This window comes from Homo sapiens, chromosome 5, assembly GCF_000001405.40.
Source record: "Homo sapiens chromosome 5, GRCh38.p14 Primary Assembly".
Lineage (NCBI taxonomy): Eukaryota > Metazoa > Chordata > Mammalia > Primates > Hominidae > Homo > Homo sapiens.
Window position 1 is genome coordinate 17,580,549 of NC_000005.10, and position 26,813 is coordinate 17,607,361.

At 47.5% G+C, this 26,813-nt stretch overlaps 5 protein-coding genes across 6 annotated transcripts, besides 10 other annotated features; 1 reads left to right on the forward strand and 4 right to left on the reverse strand.

Moving 5' to 3' along the window:
- Positions 1,585-2,531: an enhancer, noted in NCBI's record as "OCT4-H3K27ac-H3K4me1 hESC enhancer chr5:17582242-17583188 (GRCh37/hg19 assembly coordinates)". NCBI's record gives its function as "activates a minimal SCP1, AML or CMV promoter by ChIP-STARR-seq in primed H9 embryonic stem cells {active_cell/tissue: H9 hESC(primed)}" and the evidence as "EXISTENCE:reporter gene assay evidence [ECO:0000049][PMID:30033119]".
- Positions 2,532-3,477: an enhancer, noted in NCBI's record as "H3K27ac-H3K4me1 hESC enhancer chr5:17583189-17584134 (GRCh37/hg19 assembly coordinates)". NCBI's record gives its function as "activates a minimal SCP1, AML or CMV promoter by ChIP-STARR-seq in primed H9 embryonic stem cells {active_cell/tissue: H9 hESC(primed)}" and the evidence as "EXISTENCE:reporter gene assay evidence [ECO:0000049][PMID:30033119]".
- Positions 4,308-5,245: an enhancer, noted in NCBI's record as "OCT4-H3K27ac-H3K4me1 hESC enhancer chr5:17584965-17585902 (GRCh37/hg19 assembly coordinates)". NCBI's record gives its function as "activates a minimal SCP1, AML or CMV promoter by ChIP-STARR-seq in naive and primed H9 embryonic stem cells {active_cell/tissue: H9 hESC(naive and primed)}" and the evidence as "EXISTENCE:reporter gene assay evidence [ECO:0000049][PMID:30033119]".
- Positions 4,614-5,210, reverse strand: TAF11L7 (TATA-box binding protein associated factor 11 like 7). Its single transcript, NM_001401679.1, has one exon. The coding sequence runs from the start codon at positions 5,208-5,210 to the stop codon at positions 4,614-4,616; it is 597 nt and encodes a 198-aa protein (NP_001388608.1).
- Positions 6,183-7,119: an enhancer, noted in NCBI's record as "H3K27ac-H3K4me1 hESC enhancer chr5:17586840-17587776 (GRCh37/hg19 assembly coordinates)". NCBI's record gives its function as "activates a minimal SCP1, AML or CMV promoter by ChIP-STARR-seq in primed H9 embryonic stem cells {active_cell/tissue: H9 hESC(primed)}" and the evidence as "EXISTENCE:reporter gene assay evidence [ECO:0000049][PMID:30033119]".
- TAF11L8 (TATA-box binding protein associated factor 11 like 8) lies at positions 9,816-10,412 on the reverse strand. The gene has a single exon (NM_001401681.1). It carries the CDS (start codon positions 10,410-10,412, stop codon positions 9,816-9,818), a length of 597 nt encoding a protein of 198 aa, NP_001388610.1.
- Positions 12,870-13,545: an enhancer, noted in NCBI's record as "OCT4-H3K27ac-H3K4me1 hESC enhancer chr5:17593527-17594202 (GRCh37/hg19 assembly coordinates)". NCBI's record gives its function as "activates a minimal SCP1, AML or CMV promoter by ChIP-STARR-seq in primed H9 embryonic stem cells {active_cell/tissue: H9 hESC(primed)}" and the evidence as "EXISTENCE:reporter gene assay evidence [ECO:0000049][PMID:30033119]".
- Positions 13,250-13,846, reverse strand: TAF11L9 (TATA-box binding protein associated factor 11 like 9). The gene has a single exon (NM_001401693.1). The coding sequence runs from the start codon at positions 13,844-13,846 to the stop codon at positions 13,250-13,252; it is 597 nt and encodes a 198-aa protein (NP_001388622.1).
- Positions 13,546-14,219: an enhancer, noted in NCBI's record as "OCT4-H3K27ac-H3K4me1 hESC enhancer chr5:17594203-17594876 (GRCh37/hg19 assembly coordinates)". NCBI's record gives its function as "activates a minimal SCP1, AML or CMV promoter by ChIP-STARR-seq in primed H9 embryonic stem cells {active_cell/tissue: H9 hESC(primed)}" and the evidence as "EXISTENCE:reporter gene assay evidence [ECO:0000049][PMID:30033119]".
- Positions 14,220-14,895: an enhancer, noted in NCBI's record as "H3K27ac-H3K4me1 hESC enhancer chr5:17594877-17595552 (GRCh37/hg19 assembly coordinates)". NCBI's record gives its function as "activates a minimal SCP1, AML or CMV promoter by ChIP-STARR-seq in naive H9 embryonic stem cells {active_cell/tissue: H9 hESC(naive)}" and the evidence as "EXISTENCE:reporter gene assay evidence [ECO:0000049][PMID:30033119]".
- On the reverse strand, positions 16,684-17,280 carry TAF11L10 (TATA-box binding protein associated factor 11 like 10). Its single transcript, NM_001401685.1, has one exon. It carries the CDS (start codon positions 17,278-17,280, stop codon positions 16,684-16,686), a length of 597 nt encoding a protein of 198 aa, NP_001388614.1.
- Positions 17,018-17,594: an enhancer, noted in NCBI's record as "OCT4-H3K27ac-H3K4me1 hESC enhancer chr5:17597675-17598251 (GRCh37/hg19 assembly coordinates)". NCBI's record gives its function as "activates a minimal SCP1, AML or CMV promoter by ChIP-STARR-seq in primed H9 embryonic stem cells {active_cell/tissue: H9 hESC(primed)}" and the evidence as "EXISTENCE:reporter gene assay evidence [ECO:0000049][PMID:30033119]".
- Positions 17,895-18,477: an enhancer, noted in NCBI's record as "OCT4-H3K27ac-H3K4me1 hESC enhancer chr5:17598552-17599134 (GRCh37/hg19 assembly coordinates)". NCBI's record gives its function as "activates a minimal SCP1, AML or CMV promoter by ChIP-STARR-seq in primed H9 embryonic stem cells {active_cell/tissue: H9 hESC(primed)}" and the evidence as "EXISTENCE:reporter gene assay evidence [ECO:0000049][PMID:30033119]".
- Positions 18,478-19,060: an enhancer, noted in NCBI's record as "OCT4-H3K27ac-H3K4me1 hESC enhancer chr5:17599135-17599717 (GRCh37/hg19 assembly coordinates)". NCBI's record gives its function as "activates a minimal SCP1, AML or CMV promoter by ChIP-STARR-seq in primed H9 embryonic stem cells {active_cell/tissue: H9 hESC(primed)}" and the evidence as "EXISTENCE:reporter gene assay evidence [ECO:0000049][PMID:30033119]".
- TAF11L11 (TATA-box binding protein associated factor 11 like 11) lies at positions 23,635-25,362 on the forward strand. Of its 2 annotated transcripts, NM_001423534.1 has the most exons (2): positions 23,635-23,930; positions 24,158-25,362. In NM_001423534.1, the coding sequence occupies exon 2, from the start codon at positions 24,233-24,235 to the stop codon at positions 24,827-24,829; it is 597 nt and encodes a 198-aa protein (NP_001410463.1). In that variant the 5' UTR covers positions 23,635-23,930; positions 24,158-24,232; the 3' UTR covers positions 24,830-25,362. The 2 variants fall into 2 exon arrangements, with proteins under 2 accessions (NP_001410463.1, NP_001388619.1); NM_001401690.2 differs by having other exon boundaries at positions 23,635-25,362.
- Positions 25,363-26,813: the final 1,451 nt, after the last annotated feature.

Consider the following 26,813-nt stretch of genomic DNA (forward strand, 5'->3'; position numbering starts at 1 on the left):
GAATTCTCACCAATTTGGGGTATTTAAAACAAACACCAGCTCACAGGTCAGAAGTTCTGCTAGGCCAAGTGACTGCCTCCTGCTCAGAGTCCCACGAGGGACCTCCAGGATGGGTCTGGCTGTGCGGTCGTTGCCTCCACCTGAGAAGGGTCTGGCTTCGATCCGATTCGAGTTGGTGGCAGAATTCAACAATGACTCAGGGTTGCGAGCCCCAGGCCCACTTGTTTGTTCTGCCTGCTGCCGTGAGGATGCTCTCAGCTCCTACCCGTGCTGCCCAGGTCTGGGCCGTGAGGCTCCCTGGGTGTGCACAGCCAGTGCTGGGGAATCTCCCACAGGGGAGCGTAATCACAGGGGGGTTCAGTCCTCCCTTATAAAGGGCTCAGATGACTGCATTAGACCCAGCCCTTAGCAGCCATTGGTTCAGGATACCCCCCAATCTAATGAGGAAGTCGGGCGGGCACATCAATTCGTGCTTCCGCCCACACCCAAGGGAGGGGCAGACACAGGGCGACTCTCTGTGGGGCGGGAAATGCAGGGGGCATTTCAGAATTCAGTCCTCTTCACAGAATCGCAAAGTTCACATCTCACAACAGTAAAGAAACTATTTACAGTAAAAATGAGACATTTTACGAAGTTGAGCATTAGAAAACTTCGATGTCTGAGAAAAAAAACTCTCTAACGCACAGGGAAGAAAGCGGTTTATCAAATACTCTGAAAATAAAATGGGCTGGGTGAGGGAAACGTGAAAATATTATTTCAATTTTATTTTACGTCACTTTATTTTATTTTATTTTATTTTATTTGTTTATTTCTGAGACAGTGCCTCGCTCTGTCCCCCAGGCTGGATTATAGCGGCCTCATCTCAGCCCACTGCAGCCTCGGCATCCTAGGCTCAACGGATTCTCCTGCCTCAGCCTCCAGAGTGGCTGGGACTAAATGTGCGCGCTACCACGCCGGGCAAATTTTTGTATTTGCTCAAGTAGAGACGAGGTCTCGCCATTTTGGCCAGGCTGGTCTTGAACTGCTGACTTCAGGTGATCTGCCCCACCTTGGCTTCCCAAAGTGAAGGGACTATAGGCGTGAGCCACCGCGCCCAAACTATGATAGTTTCACACTGAAGCCTGACGCTGCTCTGCCTTAGGATTTTTCCTGAGTTTTACTTCCTTGTCAGGATGAGTTGCTAGTTCATATTTTCTGTTGGATCTTTTAGAAAGGCGTTACTGATGAGATTATGGCTTTCTCACAAGAAATACTACTCTGGTGAAACTCTGTTGAAATTATCAGTACCTTAAGTTTCCAATCCTTATCAAGTACAATAGTTGAACATGGCGTGGTAGCTGAAAGTGTAAGAGGCAGAATTTGGCAGACTCCACTTCTTCCCATTTCGATGGTTCCAGGTTTTTTGGCTTCAGCCGAACTAAAGAATGTCCTCACGAGCTGTGAATTCACAGGTCACTACAGACAATTTTTGAAACTGAATCACACTGTAATTTTTGGCGTATGCTCTGTGAGCTGTGCTGGGAAGGTTCACGCTGATTCCGTAATAAATCTCGGGTTTTTACTCTATAGCGAAAAATTACTCTTTGCCATCATGAAGGCAAAGCAGAGTATGTACAAGTAGAGTGTGGAATAACTTTGTCACTCGTGACGAACCGACTTGGTCCAATACTTTAACGACTTCTCCAATGGCTCCGTACTCAGGTTTGATTTTCTGAGTGGATGATCGGGGCATGGCGAGCATATCAGCAGACACACTGTTTGCATGCCGGTCTCCATGGGTGAGATTCAAGTCTGCTCCGTGACAGCAGCTGTACAGGCAGAAGTTCCGGCTGGGGTGGTTTGATTGTGGATCTGCGATGAGAACCTTTCAAAGATTTTAGCTGCTGTGTTTCTGCTGAGCCAGTTTCGCCGTAACCGGACACGGCTCCCGGCCGCCCCTTCCCACACACAAACACACACACTGAATTTTCTCGCTTCCACAGTGTGAAGAAACTTGTGGAAGGAGAGTATGTTAGTTTTAGGTCAATGCAGAACGAATTCTCACCAATTTGGGGTATTTAAAACAAACACCAGCTCACAGGTCAGAAGTTCTGCTAGGCCAAGTGACTGCCTCCTGCTCAGAGTCCCACGAGGGACCTCCAGGATGGGTCTGGCTGTGCGGTCGTTGCCTCCACCTGAGAAGGGTCTGGCTTCGATCCGATTCGAGTTGGTGGCAGAATTCAACAATGCCTCAGGGTTGCGAGCCCCAGGCCCACTTTTTTGTTCTGCCTGCTGCCGTGAGGATGCTCTCAGCTCCTACCCGTGCTGCCCAGGTCTGGGCCGTGAGGCTCCCTGGGTGTGCACAGCCAGTGCTGGGGAATCTCCCACAGGGGAGCGTAATCACAGGGGGGTCCAGTCCTCCCTTATAAAGGGCTCTGATGACTGCATTAGACCCAGCCCTTAGCAGCCGTTGGTTCAGGATACCCCCCAATCTAATGAGGAAGTCGGGCGGGCACATCAATTCGTGCTTCCGCCCATACCCAAGGGAGGGGCAGACACAGGGCGACTCTCTGAGGGGCGGGAAATGCAGGGGGCATTTCAGAATTCAGTCCTCTTCACAGAATCGCAAAGTTCACATCTCACAACAGTAAAGAAAGTATTTACAGTAAAAATGAGACATTTTACGAAGTTGAGCATTAGAAAACTTCGATGTCTGAGAAAAAAAACTCTCTAACGCACAGGGAAGAAAGCGGTTTATCAAATACTCTGAAAATAAAATGGGCTGGGTGAGGGAAACGTGAAAATATTATTTCAATTTTATTTTACGTCACTTTATTTTAGTTTATTTTATTTTATTTGTTTATTTCTGAGACAGTGCCTCGCTCTGTCCCCCAGGCTGGATTATAGCGGCCTCATCTCAGCCCACTGCAGCCTCGGCATCCTAGGCTCAACGGATTCTCCTGCCTCAGCCTCCATAGTGGCTGGGACTAAATGTGCGCGCTACCACGCCGGGCAAATTTTTGTATTTGCTCAAGTAGAGACGAGGTCTCGCCATTTTGGCCAGGCTGGTCTTGAACTGCTGACTTCAGGTGATCTGCCCCACCTTGGCTTCCCAAAGTGAAGGGACTATAGGCGTGAGCCACCGCGCCCAGACTATGATAGTTTCACACTGAAGCCTGACGCTGCTCTGCCTTAGGATTTTTCCTGAGTTTTACTTCCTTGTCAGGATGAGTTGCTAGTTCATATTTTCTGTTGGATCTTTTAGAAAGGCGTTACTGATGAGATTATGGCTTTCTCACAAGAAATACTACTCTGGTGAAACTCTGTTGAAATTATCAGTACCTTAAGTTTCCAATCCTTATCAAGTACAATAGTTGAACATGGCGTGGTAGCTGAAAGTGTAAGAGGCAGAATTTGGCAGACTCCACTTCTTCCCATTTCGATGGTTCCAGGTTTTTTGGCTTCAGCCGAACTAAAGAATGTCCTCACGAGCTGTGAATTCACAGGTCACTACAGACAATTTTTGAAACTGAATCACACTGTAATTTTTGGCGTATGCTCTGTGAGCTGTGCTGGGAAGGTTCACGCTGATTCCGTAATAAATCTCGGGTTTTTACTCTATAGCGAAAAATTACTCTTTGCCATCATGAAGGCAAAGCAGAGTATGTACAAGTAGAGTGTGGAATAACTTTGTCACTCGTGACGAACCGACTTGGTCCAATACTTTAACGACTTCTCCAATGTCTCCGTACTCAGGTTTGATTTTCTGAGTGGATCATCGGTAGAATGAATAAAATGAAGAATCCTCTAAGGCAATGTTTGGAACTAAATTTCAGTGTCTCCGGAAGCACTGGAAAAATCACCACGTGTAGCGAAAGTGAAGTGTCAATAGGCTCTCTCTGTGTCCTTCAAACCGCCCATATGGTCGTTACAAACGGCGGCTTGAGGAAAGGTGGTTTTGGAATCGGTTTCTCTCTGGTCTTACATGATGCATCTATACTATACTGCATTATAATACAGGAAAGGGTCACTTGCTGACATAAAGCACAGCAGGCAGGAATAGAAGAGTCAACTTAGGGGAAAAAAAGAAAGTGCTTTGTGATTTCAATTTGGTGTCTGCAGTTTGGAAAACGGTTGATCAGTTTAACTGTTTTCGTGGTGACTCACAAAAATACATATGAGCGTTGAAATTCTACAGAAGAACAACAATCGGGGAAACATTTCTGCAAGCTCCAATTACTGGAACCCAGACATAAGCCTACAAGCTAAGACAGAGCTACACCAGGCTTCAGCAGGAAACCATACAGATCTCCTGGGAAGGGCTTCCCTCTCTGAATGCAGCTGCCTGTCCACGGGATGCTCTAGGCCCAGGCACCTTGATTCCTCCAGCTGGAAAGACATAGAGAAACGCCTCCACATCCCATTAAAATGCCCAAAGATTTAGCCAAGGCTCCTATGAAGCGATCTGCTGTCTTCATCCAGGTAAGGGCAACTTCGCATTTTAAGACACGAAGATCGTGGGTAAATCCAGGTGGGACTGAGATGCGGGAGCTCCGGCGCACACACTCCTGTCATTGGAAGATGAACGCGGTACTTATTCCTGCACAAACAGACCCTGCCCTCTGGCCCTGGGCCTAGAACATGATTCTTTTGCAGTTGCTGTTGGGGAAGAGGCCCTTGGGCTTTAACCTGCGAACGGCCTCCCTTAAATGCTTGGGCTGCAGCGGGGGCGTCTCTCCCCACATCTCACACACGTCCAGGGCCTCTTCCACCACCTCTCCAACAAAGAGCTTGGCTATTCCAGCCATGGCAATGGCCGCGTTCTCCGACACCGAACTGCCAGTGATAGCCCGCATCAGACCCGCAACGCGTGCTCTCGGGAACGCTGACCGGCGACACACTTCGTAGCGGGACAGCTGCTCCTCAGACATGGCAGACAGCAGGGTTGTCATCCTCTGAGCCTCCTCCGCATCCACGGTGGGCTTGCTCTCCTTCTTGCCTTTCGTATGTGTTTTCCGTCTTTTGGCTGCAGGAGGAGCTGAGGCTGAGGCCTCACTGTCACCTTCTGTGAGGTCCATGACATCCTCACTCCTGAGCTCACCTTCCTGATCCCTGGGTGCTTCCAAGTTCCCGTCTAGGTCCTCAGGGATTCCATCCTTCTTGCTGCCCTTCAGACCTCGGGGCATGGCGAGCATCTCAGCAGACACGCCTGTTTGCCTGCCGGTCTCCATGGGTGAGATTCAAGTCTGCTCCGTGACAGCAGCTGTACAGGCAGAAGTTCCGGCTGGGGTGGTTTGATTGTGGATCTGCGATGAGAACCTTTCAAAGATTTTAGCTGCTGTGTTTCTGCTGAGCCAGTTTCGCCGTAACCGGACACGGCTCCCGGCCGCCCCTTCCCACACACAAACACACACACTGAATTTTCTCGCTTCCACAGTGTGAAGAAACTTGTGGAAGGAGAGTATGTTAGTTTTAGGTCAATGCAGAACGAATTCTCACCAATTTTGGGTATTTAAAACAAACACCAGCTCACAGGTCAGAAGTTCTGCTAGGCCAAGTGACTGCCTCCTGCTCAGAGTCCCACGAGGGACCTCCAGGATGGGTCTGGCTGTGCGGTCGTTGCCTCCACCTGAGAAGGGTCTGGCTTCGATCCGATTCGAGTTGGTGGCAGAATTCAACAATGCCTCAGGGTTGCGAGCCCCAGGCCCACTTGTTTGTTCTGCCTGCTGCCGTGAGGATGCTCTCAGCTCCTACCCGTGCTGCCCAGGTCTGGGCCGTGAGGCTCCCTGGGTGTGCACAGCCAGTGCTGGGGAATCTCCCACAGGGGAGCGTAATCACAGGGGGGTCCAGTCCTCCCTTATAAAGGGCTCAGATGACTGCATTAGACCCAGCCCTTAGCAGCCATTGGTTCAGGATACCCCCCAATCTAATGAGGAAGTCGGGCGGGCACATCAATTCGTGCTTCCGCCCACACCCAAGGGAGGGGCAGACACAGGGCGACTCTCTGTGGGGCGGGAAATGCAGGGGGCATTTCAGAATTCAGTCCTCTTCACAGAATCGCAAAGTTCACATCTCACAACAGTAAAGAAACTATTTACAGTAAAAATGAGACATTTTACGAAGTTGAGCATTAGAAAACTTCGATGTCTGAGAAAAAAAACTCTCTAACGCACAGGGAAGAAAGCGGTTTATCAAATACTCTGAAAATAAAATGGGCTGGGTGAGGGAAACGTGAAAATATTATTTCAATTTTATTTTACGTCACTTTATTTTATTTTATTTTATTTTATTTGTTTATTTCTGAGACAGTGCCTCGCTCTGTCCCCCAGGCTGGATTACAGCGGCCTCATCTCAGCCCACTGCAGCCTCGGCATCCTAGGCTCAACGGATTCTCCTGCCTCAGCCTCCAGAGTGGCTGGGACTAAATGTGCGCGCTACCACGCCGGGCAAATTTTTGTATTTGCTCAAGTAGAGACGAGGTCTCGCCATTTTGGCCAGGCTGGTCTTGAACTGCTGACTTCAGGTGATCTGCCCCACCTTGGCTTCCCAAAGTGAAGGGACTATAGGCGTGAGCCACCGCGCCCAAACTATGATAGTTTCACACTGAAGCCTGACGCTGCTCTGCCTTAGGATTTTTCCTGAGTTTTACTTCCTTGTCAGGATGAGTTGCTAGTTCATATTTTCTGTTGGATCTTTTAGAAAGGCGTTACTGATGAGATTATGGCTTTCTCACAAGAAATACTACTCTGGTGAAACTCTGTTGCCTTTCGTATGTGTTTTCCGTCTTTTGGCTGCAGGAGGAGTTGAGGCTGAGGCCTCACTGTCACCTTCTGTGAGGTCCATGACATCCTCACTCCTGAGCTCACCTTCCTGATCCCTGGGTGCTTCCAAGTTCCCGTCTAGGTCCTCAGGGATTCCATCCTTCTTGCTGCCCTTCAGACCTCGGGGCATGGCGAGCATCTCAGCAGACACACCTGTTTGCCTGCCGGTCTCCATGGGTGAGATTCAAGTCTGCTCCGTGACAGCAGCTGTACAGGCAGAAGTTCCGGCTGGGGTGGTTTGATTGTGGATCTGCGATGAGAACCTTTCAAAGATTTTAGCTGCTGTGTTTCTGCTGAGCCAGTTTCGCCGTAACCGGACACGGCTCCCGGCCGCCCCTTCCCACACACAAACACACACACTGAATTTTCTCGCTTCCACAGTGTGAAGAAACTTGTGGAAGGAGAGTATGTTAGTTTTAGGTCAATGCAGAACGAATTCTCACCAATTTTGGGTATTTAAAACAAACACCAGCTCACAGGTCAGAAGTTCTGCTAGGCCAAGTGACTGCCTCCTGCTCAGAGTCCCACGAGGGACCTCCAGGATGGGTCTGGCTGTGCGGTCGTTGCCTCCACCTGAGAAGGGTCTGGCTTCGATCCGATTCGAGTTGGTGGCAGAATTCAACAATGCCTCAGGGTTGCGAGCCCCAGGCCCACTTGTTTGTTCTGCCTGCTGCCGTGAGGATGCTCTCAGCTCCTACCCGTGCTGCCCAGGTCTGGGCCGTGAGGCTCCCTGGGTGTGCACAGCCAGTGCTGGGGAATCTCCCACAGGGGAGCGTAATCACAGGGGGGTCCAGTCCTCCCTTATAAAGGGCTCTGATGACTGCATTAGACCCAGCCCTTAGCAGCCGTTGGTTCAGGATACCCCCCAATCTAATGAGGAAGTCGGGCGGGCACATCAATTCGTGCTTCCGCCCATACCCAAGGGAGGGGCAGACACAGGGCGACTCTCTGAGGGGCGGGAAATGCAGGGGGCATTTCAGAATTCAGTCCTCTTCACAGAATCGCAAAGTTCACATCTCACAACAGTAAAGAAAGTATTTACAGTAAAAATGAGACATTTTACGAAGTTGAGCATTAGAAAACTTCGATGTCTGAGAAAAAAAACTCTCTAACGCACAGGGAAGAAAGCGGTTTATCAAATACTCTGAAAATAAAATGGGCTGGGTGAGGGAAACGTGAAAATATTATTTTCAATTTTATTTTACGTCACTTTATTTTAGTTTATTTTATTTTATTTTGTTTATTTTCTGAGACAGTGCCTCGCTCTGTCCCCCAGGCTGGATTATAGCGGCCTCATCTCAGCCCACTGCAGCCTCGGCATCCTAGGCTCAACGGATTCTCCTGCCTCAGCCTCCAGAGTGGCTGGGACTAAATGTGCGCGCTACCACGCCGGGCAAATTTTTGTATTTGCTCAAGTAGAGACGAGGTCTCGCCATTTTGGCCAGGCTGGTCTTGAACTGCTGACTTCAGGTGATCTGCCCCACCTTGGCTTCCCAAAGTGAAGGGACTATAGGCGTGAGCCACCGCGCCCAAACTATGATAGTTTCACACTGAAGCCTGACGCTGCTCTGCCTTAGGATTTTTCCTGAGTTTTACTTCCTTGTCAGGATGAGTTGCTAGTTCATATTTTCTGTTGGATCTTTTAGAAAGGCGTTACTGATGAGATTATGGCTTTCTCACAAGAAATACTACTCTGGTGAAACTCTGTTGAAATTATCAGTACCTTAAGTTTCCAATCCTTATCAAGTACAATAGTTGAACATGGCGTGGTAGCTGAAAGTGTAAGAGGCAGAATTTGGCAGACTCCACTTCTTCCCATTTCGATGGTTCCAGGTTTTTTGGCTTCAGCCGAACTAAAGAATGTCCTCACGAGCTGTGAATTCACAGGTCACTACAGACAATTTTTGAAACTGAATCACACTGTAATTTTTGGCGTATGCTCTGTGAGCTGTGCTGGGAAGGTTCACGCTGATTCCGTAATAAATCTCGGGTTTTTACTCTATAGCGAAAAATTACTCTTTGCCATCATGAAGGCAAAGCAGAGTATGTACAAGTAGAGTGTGGAATAACTTTGTCACTCGTGACGAACCGACTTGGTCCAATACTTTAACGACTTCTCCAATGTCTCCGTACTCAGGTTTGATTTTCTGAGTGGATGATCGGTAGAATGAATAAAATGAAGAATCCTCTAAGGCAATGTTTGGAACTAAATTTCAGTGTCTCCGGAAGCACTGGAAAAATCACCACGTGTAGCGAAAGTGAAGTGTCAATAGGCTCTCTCTGTGTCCTTCAAACCCCCCATATGGTCGTTGCAAACGGCGGCTTGAGGAAAGGTGGTTTTGGAATCGGTTTCTCTCTGGTCTTACATGATGCATCTATACTATACTGCATTATAATACAGGAAAGGGTCACTTGCTGACATAAAGCACAGCAGGCAGGAATAGAAGAGTCAACTTAGGGGAAAAAAAGAAAGTGCTTTGTGATTTCAATTTGGTGTCTGCAGTTTGGAAAACGGTTGATCAGTTTAACTGTTTTCGTGGTGACTCACAAAAATACATATGAGCGTTGAAATTCTACAGAAGAACAACAATCGGGGAAACATTTCTGCAAGCTCCAATTACTGGAACCCAGACATAAGCCTACAAGCTAAGACAGAGCTACACCAGGCTTCAGCAGGAAACCATACAGATCTCCTGGGAAGGGCTTCCCTCTCTGAATGCAGCTGCCTGTCCACGGGATGCTCTAGGCCCAGGCACCTTGATTCCTCCAGCTGGAAAGACATAGAGAAACGCCTCCACATCCCATTAAAATGCCCAAAGATTTAGCCAAGGCTCCTATGAAGCGATCTGCTGTCTTCATCCAGGTAAGGGCAACTTCGCATTTTAAGACACGAAGATCGTGGGTAAATCCAGGTGGGACTGAGATGCGGGAGCTCCGGCGCACACACTCCTGTCATTGGAAGATGAACGCGGTACTTATTCCTGCACAAACAGACCCTGCCCTCTGGCCGTGGGCCTAGAACATGATTCTTTTGCAGTTGCTGTTGGGGAAGAGGCCCTTGGGCTTTAACCTGCGAACGGCCTCCCTTAAATGCTTGGGCTGCAGCGGGGGCGTCTCTCCCCACATCTCACACACGTCCAGTGCCTCTTCCACCACCTCTCCAACAAAGAGCTTGGCTATTCCAGCCATGGCAATGGCCGCGTTCTCCGACACCGAACTGCCAGTGATAGCCCGCATCAGACCCGCAACGCGTGCTCTCGGGAACGCTGACCGGCGACACACTTCGTAGCGGGACAGCTGCTCCTCAGACATGGCAGACAGCAGGGTTGTCATCCTCTGAGCTTCCTCCGCATCCACGGTGGGCTTGCTCTCCTTCTTGCCTTTCGTATGTGTTTTCCGTCTTTTGGCTGCAGGAGGAGCTGAGGCTGAGGCCTCACTGTCACCTTCTGTGAGGTCCATGACATCCTCACTCCTGAGCTCACCTTCCTGATCCCTGGGTGCTTCCAAGTTCCCGTCTAGGTCCTCAGGGATTCCATCCTTCTTGCTGCCCTTCAGACCTCGGGGCATGGCGAGCATCTCAGCAGACACGCCTGTTTGCCTGCCGGTCTCCATGGGTGAGATTCAAGTCTGCTCCGTGACAGCAGCTGTACAGGCAGAAGTTCCGGCTGGGGTGGTTTGATTGTGGATCTGCGATGAGAACCTTTCAAAGATTTTAGCTGCTGTGTTTCTGCTGAGCCAGTTTCGCCGTAACCGGACACGGCTCCCGGCCGCCCCTTCCCACACACAAACACACACACTGAATTTTCTCGCTTCCACAGTGTGAAGAAACTTGTGGAAGGAGAGTATGTTAGTTTTAGGTCAATGCAGAACGAATTCTCACCAATTTTGGGTATTTAAAACAAACACCAGCTCACAGGTCAGAAGTTCTGCTAGGCCAAGTGACTGCCTCCTGCTCAGAGTCCCACGAGGGACCTCCAGGATGGGTCTGGCTGTGCGGTCGTTGCCTCCACCTGAGAAGGGTCTGGCTTCGATCCGATTCGAGTTGGTGGCAGAATTCAACAATGCCTCAGGGTTGCGAGCCCCAGGCCCACTTTTTTGTTCTGCCTGCTGCCGTGAGGATGCTCTCAGCTCCTACCCGTGCTGCCCAGGTCTGGGCCGTGAGGCTCCCTGGGTGTGCACAGCCAGTGCTGGGGAATCTCCCACAGGGGAGCGTAATCACAGGGGGGTCCAGTCCTCCCTTATAAAGGGCTCTGATGACTGCATTAGACCCAGCCCTTAGCAGCCGTTGGTTCAGGATACCCCCCAATCTAATGAGGAAGTCGGGCGGGCACATCAATTCGTGCTTCCGCCCATACCCAAGGGAGGGGCAGACACAGGGCGACTCTCTGAGGGGCGGGAAATGCAGGGGGCATTTCAGAATTCAGTCCTCTTCACAGAATCGCAAAGTTCACATCTCACAACAGTAAAGAAAGTATTTACAGTAAAAATGAGACATTTTACGAAGTTGAGCATTAGAAAACTTCGATGTCTGAGAAAAAAAACTCTCTAACGCACAGGGAAGAAAGCGGTTTATCAAATACTCTGAAAATAAAATGGGCTGGGTGAGGGAAACGTGAAAATATTATTTCAATTTTATTTTACGTCACTTTATTTTAGTTTATTTTATTTTATTTGTTTATTTCTGAGACAGTGCCTCGCTCTGTCCCCCAGGCTGGATTATAGCGGCCTCATCTCAGCCCACTGCAGCCTCGGCATCCTAGGCTCAACGGATTCTCCTGCCTCAGCCTCCAGAGTGGCTGGGACTAAATGTGCGCGCTACCACGCCGGGCAAATTTTTGTATTTGCTCAAGTAGAGACGAGGTCTCGCCATTTTGGCCAGGCTGGTCTTGAACTGCTGACTTCAGGTGATCTGCCCCACCTTGGCTTCCCAAAGTGAAGGGACTATAGGCGTGAGCCACCGCGCCCAGACTATGATAGTTTCACACTGAAGCCTGACGCTGCTCTGCCTTAGGATTTTTCCTGAGTTTTACTTCCTTGTCAGGATGAGTTGCTAGTTCATATTTTCTGTTGGATCTTTTAGAAAGGCGTTACTGATGAGATTATGGCTTTCTCACAAGAAATACTACTCTGGTGAAACTCTGTTGAAATTATCAGTACCTTAAGTTTCCAATCCTTATCAAGTACAATAGTTGAACATGGCGTGGTAGCTGAAAGTGTAAGAGGCAGAATTTGGCAGACTCCACTTCTTCCCATTTCGATGGTTCCAGGTTTTTTGGCTTCAGCCGAACTAAAGAATGTCCTCACGAGCTGTGAATTCACAGGTCACTACAGACAATTTTTGAAACTGAATCACACTGTAATTTTTGGCGTATGCTCTGTGAGCTGTGCTGGGAAGGTTCACGCTGATTCCGTAATAAATCTCGGGTTTTTACTCTATAGCGAAAAATTACTCTTTGCCATCATGAAGGCAAAGCAGAGTATGTACAAGTAGAGTGTGGAATAACTTTGTCACTCGTGACGAACCGACTTGGTCCAATACTTTAACGACTTCTCCAATGTCTCCGTACTCAGGTTTGATTTTCTGAGTGGATGATCGGTAGAATGAATAAAATGAAGAATCCTCTAAGGCAATGTTTGGAACTAAATTTCAGTGTCTCCGGAAGCACTGGAAAAATCACCACGTGTAGCGAAAGTGAAGTGTCAATAGGCTCTCTCTGTGTCCTTCAAACCGCCCATATGGTCGTTACAAACGGCGGCTTGAGGAAAGGTGGTTTTGGAATCGGTTTCTCTCTGGTCTTACATGATGCATCTATACTATACTGCATTATAATACAGGAAAGGGTCACTTGCTGACATAAAGCACAGCAGGCAGGAATAGAAGAGTCAACTTAGGGGAAAAAAAGAAAGTGCTTTGTGATTTCAATTTGGTGTCTGCAGTTTGGAAAACGGTTGATCAGTTTAACTGTTTTCGTGGTGACTCACAAAAATACATATGAGCGTTGAAATTCTACAGAAGAACAACAATCGGGGAAACATTTCTGCAAGCTCCAATTACTGGAACCCAGACATAAGCCTACAAGCTAAGACAGAGCTACACCAGGCTTCAGCAGGAAACCATACAGATCTCCTGGGAAGGGCTTCCCTCTCTGAATGCAGCTGCCTGTCCACAGGATGCTCTAGGCCCAGGCACCTTGATTCCTCCAGCTGGAAAGACATAGAGAAACGCCTCCACATCCCATTAAAATGCCCAAAGATTTAGCCAAGGCTCCTATGAAGCGATCTGCTGTCTTCATCCAGGTAAGGGCAACTTCGCATTTTAAGACACGAAGATCGTGGGTAAATCCAGGTGGGACTGAGATGCGGGAGCTCCGGCGCACACACTCCTGTCATTGGAAGATGAACGCGGTACTTATTCCTGCACAAACAGACCCTGCCCTCTGGCCCTGGGCCTAGAACATGATTCTTCTGCAGTTGCTGTTGGGGAAGAGGCCCTTGGGCTTTAACCTGCGAACGGCCTCCCTTAAATGCTTGGGCTGCAGCGGGGGCGTCTCTCCCCACATCTCACACACGTCCAGGGCCTCTTCCACCACCTCTCCAACAAAGAGCTTGGCTATTCCAGCCATGGCAATGGCCGCGTTCTCCGACACCGAACTGCCAGTGATAGCCCGCATCAGACCCGCAACGCGTGCTCTCGGGAACGCTGACCGGCGACACACTTCGTAGCGGGACAGCTGCTCCTCAGACATGGCAGACAGCAGGGTTGTCATCCTCTGAGCCTCCTCCGCATCCACGGTGGGCTTGCTCTCCTTCTTGCCTTTCGTATGTGTTTTCCGTCTTTTGGCTGCAGGAGGAGCTGAGGCTGAGGCCTCACTGTCACCTTCTGTGAGGTCCATGACATCCTCACTCCTGAGCTCACCTTCCTGATCCCTGGGTGCTTCCAAGTTCCCGTCTAGGTCCTCAGGGATTCCATCCTTCTTGCTGCCCTTCAGACCTCGGGGCATGGCGAGCATCTCAGCAGACACACCTGTTTGCCTGCCGGTCTCCATGGGTGAGATTCAAGTCTGCTCCGTGACAGCAGCTGTACAGGCAGAAGTTCCGGCTGGGGTGGTTTGACTGTGGATCTGCGATGAGAACCTTTCAAAGATTTTAGCTGCTGTGTTTCTGCTGAGCCAGTTTCGCCGTAACCGGACACGGCTCCCGGCCGCCCCTTCCCACACACAAACACACACACTGAATTTTCTCGCTTCCACAGTGTGAAGAAACTTGTGGAAGGAGAGTATGTTAGTTTTAGGTCAATGCAGAACGAATTCTCACCAATTTTGGGTATTTAAAACAAACACCAGCTCACAGGTCAGAAGTTCTGCTAGGCCAAGTGACTGCCTCCTGCTCAGAGTCCCACGAGGGACCTCCAGGATGGGTCTGGCTGTGCGGTCGTTGCCTCCACCTGAGAAGGGTCTGGCTTCGATCCGATTCGAGTTGGTGGCAGAATTCAACAATGCCTCAGGGTTGCGAGCCCCAGGCCCACTTGTTTGTTCTGCCTGCTGCCGTGAGGATGCTCTCAGCTCCTACCCGTGCTGCCCAGGTCTGGGCCGTGAGGCTCCCTGGGTGTGCACAGCCAGTGCTGGGGAATCTCCCACAGGGGAGCGTAATCCCAGGGGGGTTCAGTCCTCCCTTATAAAGGGCTCAGATGACTGGATTAGACCCAGCCCTTAGCAGCCGTTGGTTCAGGATACCCCCCAATCTAATGAGGAAGTCGGGCGGGCACATCAATTCGTGCTTCCGCCCACACCCAAGGGAGGGGCAGACACAGGGCGACTCTCCGAGGGGCGGGAAATGCAGGGGGCATTTCAGAATTCAGTCCTCTTCACAGAATCGCAAAGTTCACATCTCACAACAGTAAAGAAACTATTTACAGTAAAAATGAGACATTTTACGAAGTTGAGCATTAGAAAACTTCGATGTCTGAGAAAAAAAACTCTCTAACGCACAGGGAAGAAAGCGGTTTATCCAATACTCTGAAAATAAAATGGGCTGGGTGAGGGAAACGTGAAAATATTATTTCAATTTTATTTTACGTCACTTTATTTTAGTTTATTTTATTTTATTTGTTTATTTCTGAGACAGTGCCTCGCTCTGTCCCCCAGGCTGGATTACAGCGGCCTCATCTCAGCCCACTGCAGCCTCGGCATCCTAGGCTCAACGGATTCTCCTGCCTCAGCCTCCAGAGTGGCTGGGACTAAATGTGCGCGCTACCACGCCGGGCAAATTTTTGTATTTGCTCAAGTAGAGACGAGGTCTCGCCATTTTGCCCAGGCTGGTCTTGAACTGCTGACTTCAGGTGATCTGCCCCACCTTGGCTTCCCAAAGCGAAGGGACTATAGGCGTGAGCCACCGCGCCCAGACTATGATAGTTTCACACTGAAGCCTGACGCTGCTCTGCCTTAGGATTTTTCCTGAGTTTTACTTCCTTGTCAGGATGAGTTGCTAGTTCATATTTTCTGTTGGATCTTTTAGAAAGGCGTTACTGATGAGATCATGGCTTTCTCACAAGAAATACTACTCTGGTGAAACTCTGTTGAAATTATCAGTACCTTAAATTTCCAATCCTTATCAAGTACAATAGTTGAACATGGCGTGGTAGCTGAAAGTGTAAGAGGCAGAATTTGGCAGACTCCACTTCTTCCCATTTCGATGGTTCCAGGTTTTTTGGCTTCAGCCGAACTAAAGAATGTCCTCACGAGCTGTGAATTCACAGGTCACTACAGACAATTTTTGAAACTGAATCACACTGTAATTTTTGGCGTATGCTCTGTGAGCTGTGCTGGGAAGGTTCACGCTGATTCCGTAATAAATCTCGGGTTTTTACTCTATAGCGAAAAATTACTCTTTGCCATCCTGAAGGCAAAGCAGAGTATGTACAAGTAGAGTGTGGAATAACTTTGTCACTCGTGACGAACCGACTTGGTCCAATACTTTAACGACTTCTCCAATGTCTCCGTACTCAGGTTTGATTTTCTGAGTGGATCATCGGTAGAATGAATAAAATGCAGAATCCTCTAAGGCAATGTTTGGAACTAAATTTCAGTGTCTCCGGAAGCACTGGAAAAATCACCACGTGTAGCGAAAGTGAAGTGTCAATAGGCTCTCTCTGTGTCCTTCAAACCCCCCATATGGTCGTTGCAAACGGCGGCTTGAGGAAAGGTGGTTTTGGAATCGGTTTCTCTCTGGTCTTACATGATGCATCTATACTATACTGCATTATAATACAGGAAAGGGTCACTTGCTGACATAAAGCACAGCAGGCAGGAATAGAAGAGTCAACTTAGGGGAAAAAAAGAAAGTGCTTTGTGATTTCAATTTGGTGTCTGCAGTTTGGAAAACGGTTGATCAGTTTAACTGTTTTCGTGGTGACTCACAAAAATACATATGAGCGTTGAAATTCTACAGAAGAACAACAATCGGGGAAACATTTCTGCAAGCTCCAATTACTGGAACCCAGACATAAGCCTACAAGCTAAGACAGAGCTACACCAGGCTTCAGCAGGAAACCATACAGATCTCCTGGGAAGGGCTTCCCTCTCTGAATGCAGCTGCCTGTCCACGGGATGCTCTAGGCCCAGGCACCTTGATTCCTCCAGCTGGAAAGACATAGAGAAACGCCTCCACATCCCATTAAAATGCCCAAAGATTTAGCCAAGGCTCCTGTGAAGCGATCTGCTGTCTTCATCCAGGTAAGGGCAACTTCGCATTTTAAGACACGAAGATCGTGGGTAAATCCAGGTGGGACTGAGATGCGGGAGCTCCGGCGCACACACTCCTGTCATTGGAAGATGAACGCGGTACTTATTCCTGCACAAACAGACCCTGCCCTCTGGCCCTGGGCCTAGAACATGATTCTTTTGCAGTTGCTGTTGGGGAAGAGGCCCTTGGGCTTTAACCTGCGAACGGCCTCCCTTAAATGCTTGGGCTGCAGCGGGGGCGTCTCTCCCCACATCTCACACACGTCCAGGGCCTCTTCCACCACCTCTCCAACAAAGAGCTTGGCTATTCCAGCCATGGCAATGGCCGCGTTCTCCGACACCGAACTGCCAGTGATAGCCCGCATCAGACCCGCAACGCGTGCTCTCGGGAACGCTGACCGGCGACACACTTCGTAGCGGGACAGCTGCTCCTCAGACATGGCAGACAGCAGGGTTGTCATCCTCTGAGCCTCCTCCGCATCCACGGTGGGCTTGCTCTCCTTCTTGCCTTTCGTATGTGTTTTCCGTCTTTTGGCTGCAGGAGGAGCTGAGGCTGAGGCCTCACTGTCACCTTCTGTGAGGTCCATGACATCCTCACTCCTGAGCTCACCTTCCTGATCCCTGGGTGCTTCCAAGTTCCCGTCTAGGTCCTCAGGGATTCCATCCTTCTTGCTGCCCTTCAGACCTCGGGGCATGGCGAGCATCTCAGCAGACACACCTGTTTGCCTGCCGGTCTCCATGGGTGAGATTCAAGTCTGCTCCGTGACAGCAGCTGTACAGGCAGAAGTTCCGGCTGGGGTGGTTTGATTGTGGATCTGCGATGAGAACCTTTCAAAGATTTTAGCTGCTGTGTTTCTGCTGAGCCAGTTTCGCCGTAACCGGACACGGCTCCCGGCCGCCCCTTCCCACACACAAACACACACACTGAATTTTCTCGCTTCCACAGTGTGAAGAAACTTGTGGAAGGAGAGTATGTTAGTTTTAGGTCAATGCAGAACGAATTCTCACCAATTTTGGGTATTTAAAACAAACACCAGCTCACAGGTCAGAAGTTCTGCTAGGCCAAGTGACTGCCTCCTGCTCAGAGTCCCACGAGGGACCTCCAGGATGGGTCTGGCTGTGCGGTCGTTGCCTCCACCTGAGAAGGGTCTGGCTTCGATCCGATTCGAGTTGGTGGCAGAATTCAACAATGCCTCAGGGTTGCGAGCCCCAGGCCCACTTTTTTGTTCTGCCTGCTGCCGTGAGGATGCTCTCAGCTCCTACCCGTGCTGCCCAATGTCTGGGCCGAGAGGATCCCTGGGTGGACACAATCCAGTGCTGGGGAATCTCACTCTGAGCTCACTTCCTGATCCTGGGGTGCTTCCAAGTTCCCGTCTAGGTCCTCAGGGATTCCATCCTTCTTGCTGCCCTTCAGACCTCGGGGCATGGCGAGCATCTCAGCAGACACACCTGTTTGCCTGCCGGTCTCCATGGGTGAGATTCAAGTCTGCTCCGTGACAGCAGCTGTACAGGCAGAAGTTCCGGCTGGGGTGGTTTGATTGTGGATCTGCGATGAGAACCTTTCAAAGATTTTAGCTGCTGTGTTTCTGCTGAGCCAGTTTCGCCGTAACCGGACACGGCTCCCGGCCGCCCCTTCCCACACACAAACACACACACTGAATTTTCTCGCTTCCACAGTGTGAAGAAACTTGTGGAAGGAGAGTATGTTAGTTTTAGGTCAATGCAGAACGAATTCTCACCAATTTGGGGTATTTAAAACAAACACCAGCTCACAGGTCAGAAGTTCTGCTAGGCCAAGTGACTGCCTCCTGCTCAGAGTCCCACGAGGGACCTCCAGGATGGGTCTGGCTGTGCGGTCGTTGCCTCCACCTGAGAAGGGTCTGGCTTCGATCCGATTCGAGTTGGTGGCAGAATTCAACAATGCCTCAGGGTTGCGAGCCCCAGGCCCACTTGTTTGTTCTGCCTGCTGCCGTGAGGATGCTCTCAGCTCCTACCCGTGCTGCCCAGGTCTGGGCCGTGAGGCTCCCTGGGTGTGCACAGCCAGTGCTGGGGAATCTCCCACAGGGGAGCGTAATCACAGGGGGGTTCAGTCCTCCCTTATAAAGGGCTCAGATGACTGGATTAGACCCAGCCCTTAGCAGCCGTTGGTTCAGGATACCCCCCAATCTAATGAGGAAGTCGGGCGGGCACATCAATTCGTGCTTCCGCCCACACCCAAGGGAGGGGCAGACACAGGGCGACTCTCCGAGGGGCGGGAAATGCAGGGGGCATTTCAGAATTCAGTCCTCTTCACAGAATCGCAAAGTTCACATCTCACAACAGTAAAGAAACTATTTACAGTAAAAATGAGACATTTTACGAAGTTGAGCATTAGAAAACTTCGATGTCTGAGAAAAAAACTCTCTAACGCACAGGGAAGAAAGCGGTTTATCAAATACTCTGCAAATAAAATGGGCTGGGTGAGGGAAACGTGAAAATATTATTTCAATTTTATTTTACGTCACTTTATTTTATTTTATTTTATTTTATTTGTGAGGTGATGTCTTCTTTTAGTTTTTATATGTGTTTCTCTGAAGATTGGTGACGTCGAGTATATATATATGCCTGCTGGTCACTTGTATATCTTCTCTCCCGAGATGTCTATTATTTAGGTCCTTTGCCCAGTTTTAAAATTGTGTTGTTTCTTGCTGTTGAGTCCTTTGAGTTCATGGTATATTTTGAACAGTAACTAATTAATCCCTTATTGGATATAGTGTTTGCAAGTATTTTTTCTCATGATGATTTTGTCTCTTCATGGTGTTAATTATTTCTTTTACTGTGTAGAATTTTTTTTTTCATTTGGATGCAATCCATTTGTCTATTTTCCCTTGTGCTGCCTATGCGTTTGGGACATATTTCAAAAATTATTGGCGTAACCAATGTCAATGAGGATGTCCCCTGTTTCCTTCTAGTAGGTTCACAGTTTAAAGTTTTGACTATAGTTTGTTTGATTCTTGTGTATGGTAAGAGATTAGGGCCCAATTTCATTTTACTGCCGGTAGATACCCAGTTTCCTATCACCACTGATGGAAGAGACTGTCCTTTTGTCATTGTGTGTTGTTGGCGCATTTGTAAAACTGTAATTGGCTGTACACATTTCGAGTGATTTCTGGGCTCTCTGCTCTGTTCCATCGGCTTTGATTTCTGTTTCGATGCCATTCTTATGCCATTTTTGTTCCTACCGCTTGATAGAATATTTTGAAACAAGGAAGGCATGGATTTTTTAATTTTCTCTATGGTTTGCCCTATGACAGCACCACTCAGACAGATGTCAAAGAGATATAGATTCTTTACTTTTTCAGTTTTTTACTGATTGTTAAGACAGAGTAATGACATGGAATCTTTTTTATGGGCCATCCTGAAAACTGGAACTCCATTTTATTGTTGCTATATGTTTATTAGAGTTTATCTTATTTTCAAGATATTTGATCAATTACTTGTTCATATAATGACAAGTAGGGTTCAATTGTACAAAATATCCAATGGTCAAATCCTACAGAGAGAGAAAATTTTGTTTTTTATTTCTGTATTTCTTATATAATCATTTGAAAAATAAAGTAAAAATAGAATATTATCTAGAATAAAATATAATATTATTATATGCATTTCTGTTTTAAAGAAGGACAAAACAGAGATCAATATGTTATTTCAGTCATAAACAAAGGTTACTTTGGGACCAGTTCTTTGGAGGTGAAGGTGTGGAAATGAATGCAGAGGTTAGACAGGGTTTCTGGGGTCTTTGTTTCTCTGTCTAGTTTTCCATCTGGCTCCTAGAGTGTGTTACTATTCCAGCATCCTCAAAGATCGCTCTCTGACATGAAACAATTTTGGCCAGAACGTGAAAAAAATCATCGTAGAGGAAAATCTGGTATTTAATTCAATTGTTTTTTTTTTGCAAGCTCAAAAACAGTTGATTCCCCAGACAAAGTTATGAAAAGTACAAATGTTTATAAGGGGATCTATTCCAATGCTTTTAGAAAGCCAGGGCCTTCAGGAAAAAGTATTATAAGGGAAGACTCTGTTTTATCTCCTACAAGTCATATAGAAGCAAAAACATCCTAAGTCATAGCAACTTCAGGATACAGTGTGATTTCATCATAGTCTCTGAAAAGAGTTTCCTTTTTCTTTGTAAAAACAGCTCACCATTCACACGATGCTCGAGGCTCGTGTACCATTCTTCTCCCAACCAGGATGCCCCAGAACAATGCCTTAGCATGCGTGGACCTCAGAGTTCCAAATATGATGGTGATGATTGTTACTAATTTTGAGACAGGGTCTCACCCTGTTGGCCAGGTGTGAGGGCAGTGGCGCCATCTCTACTTACTGCAACCTCCACCTCTGGTGCACCAGCGATTCTCCTACCACACACTCCAGAATGAGTAGGTGAAACAGCAGGAACTAGTGACCATGCCCAGCTCTTTTTTTTTTTTTTTTTTTTTTTTTTAAGGGAGGCGGTCTGGAACTCGAGTTCAAGTGATCTGCCAGTTCGGCCACCCAAAATGGTGGGATAACAGGAATAAGCCACTGTGCATGGTCTGAGATACAAATATGATTGAAAGGGATGATCAAACAGGCTGCTGCCTTCATCTGGGTGTAACCAATGTAAAATGTAAGAAAGACGTTAAATTACGGGTAAGTCCAGGATGGGCTGAGATACTGAAGCTCCAGCATAGAAAGTGTGCTCTCATAGAAAGACTAGAAGCAGTACTTTCTCCTCTAAAATCAGGCCTTTCTATCTGGGCTGGGATCTGGAGGAAGATGGGTTTTTTTTTTTTTTTCTCGATGTTGGGGGAATGGGCCCTGGGCTGTCCCCTGTGTAAGGCCTCGCTGCAATGCTTGGGTTGCAGCAGGGATATGTCTCCCCACATCTCACACATGTCCAGCGCCTCTCCTACCAGCTCGTGGACCAAGACCTGGGTCATTCCAGCCATGGCTACGGCTGTGACTACGTTCTAGGACACTGAACTGCTGGTGATGGACTGCATCGGACTTCTAAAGGCTGCCTCTCTCCCTTTTTCACCCACAAACAGACCTACAGTGGTTTTTCTGCCTCCTGTAATGTGAAGCAACTTGTGGATAAAGAGTATTTTCACATTTTAGAAAGTAGAGGTCAATGTGTGTTCACAGGAAACTAGCAGGAGCAGTCTGTGAGACAGGGAACATTGCAAACATGGAGCTGCATATAGAAAAAGTTAAAGTGTGGATCCCATCCACCGTTTGATCAATTGCAGGAGACATTGTCTATTTGGCACCTATACATTTACTTGATTTTCAATAATATTAAGGAACTCATTTCTCCACAATTTTTCTTGATGTGATATGCAGAAACGTGTTCACTGAGACATTTCGATGAATGCATTAGACCCTCAATGTAGTTTGGAAGTTTACAAACAAAACAAAATGGAAACACAGTCACTAGCTGTGACTTCTGCTTCTATTTTTACTCCCGATCATATGCTTAGCTACTTTTTGACCCCATGCGAGAAACGATACTATCTCTGAACAGAACTTCTAACATCATATCTATCATTAACAGAAAGAAAACACAACACAGCAAAAGAGAAACCATTAACAGAGAAAAACACAACACAACACAAAGGAAACCATTTGCAATGCAAGATTTCCCAGGAGTGTGGGCTCTTAAGCACCCTCTCCACGGAGGCTGTGGGCCAGCTGCATGTCTCTGGGCATAACTGGGACTCTCCTGGCATGGATGACACACAGTTTGGTGTCTTACCAAAAGGACACAGGAAGGGGAACATCACACACCGGGGACTGTTGTGGGGTGGGGGGAGGGGGGAGGGATAGCATTAGGAGATATACCTAATGCTAAATGATGAGTTAATTGGTGCAGCACACCAACATGGCACATACATACATATGTAACTAATCTGCACGTTATGCACATGTACCCTAAAACTTAAAGTATAATAATAATAAAATTGAAAATAAAAAGAAAAGAAAAAGTTCTGATATCAATGTGTTGCTGGAAAAGAGTGGTTTCCCCATGTTGTCCAGGCTGGTCTTAAACTCCTGATCTCAGGAGATCCACCCACCTCGGCCTCCCAAAATACTGAGATTACAGGTATGAGCCATCACGTCTGGCCAGTAATTTCATATCTTCTACCAACTATTTTTGAATAAACAAAAGCTCTTTAAAGGTCAGATATTTGAGTGTCTGCTTTATATTCTGAAGTACTTTTTATGCCATTTCTCAGCATAATTTTCCCTAAATGTGATTTATGTCTTTGTGCATGACATAATTGTATGTCTCTTTGATGCTTCTCTGTGTCCTATGTATACATATACATGTAATATATAAATTGAAGTCTGGGCGCAGTGGCTCATGCCTGTAATCACTTCATTTTGAGAAACCAAGGGAGGCAGATCACTTGAAGTAAGTGGTTCAAGACCAGCCTGGCCAAAATGGTGAAACGTCCTTTCTACTTTAAAAAATACAAAAATTATACCGGTGTGGTGGGGTGCACATTTAGTCCCAGCTACTCTGGAGGCTGAGGCAGGAGAGTTGCTTGTGCCCAAGAGGCGGAGGCGGCAGTGAGCTGAGATCAGGCCACTGCAATCCAGCCTGGGGGATGGAGTGAGACTGTCTCAAAAATAAATAAATACATAAAATAAAGTAAAATAAAATTGAAATAATATTTTCATATTCCCCTCACCCAGCCTAGTCTATTTTCAGAGTATCTGGTAAACCACTTGTTTCCCTGAGTCAGAGATTTTCTTCTCAGACAGTTTTCTACTGTGCAACTTCGTAATATGTCTCATTTTTAATGTAAATGTTTTCTTTATTGTTGTGAAATGTGAACTTTGTGATTCTGCGAGGAAGACTGAATTCTGAAATGCCCCCTGCATTTCCCACCCCTCAGAGACTCGCCCTGTGTCTGCCCCTCCCTTGGGTGTGGGCGGAAGCATGAATTGATGTGCCCGCCCGACTTCCTGATTAGATCAGGGATATCCTGAACCAATAGCTGCTAAGGGCTGGGTCTAATTCAATCATCTGAGCTCTTTATAAGGGAGGACTGAACCTCCCTGTGATTACACTCCCCTGTGGAGATTCCCCCAGCACTGGCTGTGCACACCCAGGGAGCCTCACAGCCCAGACCTGGGCAACACTTGTAGGAGCTGAGAGCATCCTCACGGCAGCAGGCAGAACAAACAAGTGGGCCTAGGGCTCACAACCCTAAGACATTGAATTCTGCCACTAACTCGAATGAGATCGAAGCCAGACCCTTCTCAGGTGAAGGTGACGACCACACAGCCAGACCCATCCTGGAGGTCCCTCATGTGACTCTGAGCAGGAGGCAGTCACTTGGCCTAGCAGAACTTCTGACCTGTGAGTTGGTGTTTGTTTTAAATATCCAAAATTGGTGAGAATTTATTCTGCATTGATCTAAGACTAATATACTCTCCATCCACAAGTTTCTTCACATTGTGGAAGTGAGAACATTCAGTGTGTGTGTTTGTGTGTGGGAAGGGGAGGCAGGGGGCTGTGTCCAGTTATGGTTAAACTGGCACAGCAGAAACACAGAAGCTAAACTCTTTGAGAGGTTCTCATTGCAGATCCATAATCGAACCACCCCAGCCAGAACTTCTGCCTGTACAGCTGCTGTCACGGAGCAGACTGGAATCTCACCCATGGAGACAGGCAGGCAAAGAGATGCCTCTGCTGAGATGTTCCCCATGCCCCGAGGTCTGAAGTACAGCAACAAGGATGGAATCCCTGAGGACCTAGATGGGAACTTGGAAGAACCCAGGGATCAGGAAAGTGAGCTCAGGAGTCAGGATGTCATGGACCTCACAGAAGGTGACAATGAAGCGTCAGCCTCAACTCCTCCTTCAGCTAAAAGGCAGAAAACAGATACCAAGGGGAAGAAGGAGAGGAAGCCCACCATGGATGCAGAGGAGGCTCAGAGGATGACAACCCTGTTTTCTGCCATGTCTGAGGAGCAGCTATCTCGCTACGAAGTGTGTCGCCGGTCAGCTTTCCCAAAAGCACGCATTGCAGCTCTGATGCAGTCCATCACTGGCAGATCGGTGTCTGAGAACACCGCCATTGCCATGGCTGGAATAGCCAAGGTCTTTGTGGGAGAGGTGGTGGAAGAGGCCCTGGACGTGTGCGAAATGTGGGGAGAAACGCCCCCGCTGCAGCCCAAGCATTTACGGGAGGCTGTTCGCAGGTTAAAGCCCAAGGGCATCCTCCCCAACAGCAACTACAAAAAAATCATGTTCTAGGCCTAAGGACAGAGGGAAAGGTCTGTTTGTGCAGGAATAAGTATCGCATTCATCTTCCAATGACAGGACTGCATTTGCTGGAGCTTCCTTATCTCAGTCCACCCTGGATTTACCCACGATCTTAGTGTCTGAAACTGTGAAGTTGACCTTACCTAGGTGAAGACAGCAGGTTGTTTCATAGGAGCCTTGGCTAAATATTTGGACATTTTAATGGTGTGTTGAGGTATTTTTCTCTGTCTTTCTAGTTGGAAGAATCAAGGTGCCTGGGCCTAGAGCATCCTGTGGACAGGTAGCTGCATTCAGAGAGGGAAGCCCTTCCCAGGAGATTTGTATGGTTTCCTGCTGAAGCCTGGTGTAGCTGTGTCTTAGCTTGTATGCTTATATCTGGGTTTCAGTAATTGAAGCTTCCAGAAATGTTTCCCAATTGTTGTTCTTCTGTACATTTTCAATGCTCATATGTATTTTTGTGAGTCATCACAAAAGCAGTTAAACTGTTTTCCAAACTGCAGAAATAAAAATAAAGTCACAAAGCACTTTTTTTCTCTAAGTTGACTCTTCTATTCCTGCCCATGGTGCTTTATGTCAGCAAGTGACCCTTTCCTTTATTATAATGCAATATAGTATAGATGCATCACGTAAGACTAGCGAGAAACCAATTCCAACACCACCTTTGCTCAAGCCGCCATTTGTAACGATCATATGGGCCATTTCAAAGACACAGAGAGAGCCTATTGATACTTCACGTTCGCTACACATGGTGATTTTATCAGTGCTTCCAGAGACACTGAAATTTAGTTCCAAACAGTGCTTTAGAGTATTCTTGATTTCATTCATTCTACCGATGATCCACTCAGAAAATCAAACCTGAGTACAGAGACATTGGAGAGGTTGTTAAAGTATCAGACCAAGTAGATTCATCACAAGTGACAAAGTTATTCCACACTCTACTTGTACATACTCTGCTTTACCTTTATGATGTAAAGAGTAATTTTTCTTTATATAATAAAGACCTGAGATTTATTATGGAATCACCGTGAGCCTTCCCAGCACAGCTCAGAGATATCCATGGTGCTGTTTCAGTCTGTTTACCTTTGCCATGTGCCCCCTGAATCACAGAGTGTAAGCAAAAAGGATCGAAACGACCCCATAGTTCAACTCTAATATTGAATGCAGAGTAACATGTACTCTTTCTTCCTGAAGCCAAAGATACCCCCATAAAATATAGTTTTATTTCCTCATACACTCAGCTTTTGCTCTGAAAATAGGACTGAGTGTACATAGAATCTGCCTTTGGGTATCACACAAATTTCTAAACTTTACCAAGTATGGGGAAATTCTGTTTCATACCTCCATATTCTGACATGGTTTAGCTTTCCTTTTATTTCACCAACTTTCTTGTAAAGGCATATATCAAGTTAGACCATTGTGTCTTAGAGACACAAGGAGGGTACAGGTTCTTGGAAGAACTGATGGAGATGGGAGGGCTCTCTCAGGAATTAAAGTGCTGGAGTAACCAAAAGAAATAAGATCCAAGAGACTTAATATCTCCCAGTCTTTAGATTGCTCTCAGCTCATTCCTTTTCCATGGCACTGAGGAGTCATGGAAGGTGTCTTGTGTCAGATGTTGCAGGTCTAGCCCTTTCTGAACAGTAGAGGCAAAGAGAACTTGGCCCAAGCAGGTTGGTCTGCCGAGGTGGAGGCAAGCATCTGTAGAGAGCAGTGCTGATGGTGATTCCACACAAAAGCTTAGAATATTTTAATGTTCTAATTAGAACATCACAACATTTTTCTGGCCCCTCATAGAACTCAATACTCTGAGTGGGGTCTGAGTAAAGCTGAACTGCTGAAGACAGAAACAAGTTCCCATCAAGGTCTCAGAGGTCAGCTCAGGAGCAGGAACACAGCATTGTTTTCTCAGAGAGGAAAATTGGATTAGCTGAGAAGGTTCAGTGTCCTTACACATTCTTTTCTTTTTAACTTTCAG

What these genes read in the sequence shown, in the direction of transcription:
- TAF11L7 (NM_001401679.1), bottom strand. Translation starts at nt 5,210, where the DNA reads ATGGAGACCGGCAGGCAAACAGGCGTGTCTGCTGAGATGCTCGCCATG.
- TAF11L8 (NM_001401681.1), bottom strand. Translation starts at nt 10,412, where the DNA reads ATGGAGACCGGCAGGCAAACAGGCGTGTCTGCTGAGATGCTCGCCATG.
- TAF11L9 (NM_001401693.1), bottom strand. Translation starts at nt 13,846, where the DNA reads ATGGAGACCGGCAGGCAAACAGGTGTGTCTGCTGAGATGCTCGCCATG.
- TAF11L10 (NM_001401685.1), bottom strand. Translation starts at nt 17,280, where the DNA reads ATGGAGACCGGCAGGCAAACAGGTGTGTCTGCTGAGATGCTCGCCATG.
- TAF11L11 (NM_001401690.2), top strand. Translation starts at nt 24,233, where the DNA reads ATGGAGACAGGCAGGCAAAGAGATGCCTCTGCTGAGATGTTCCCCATG.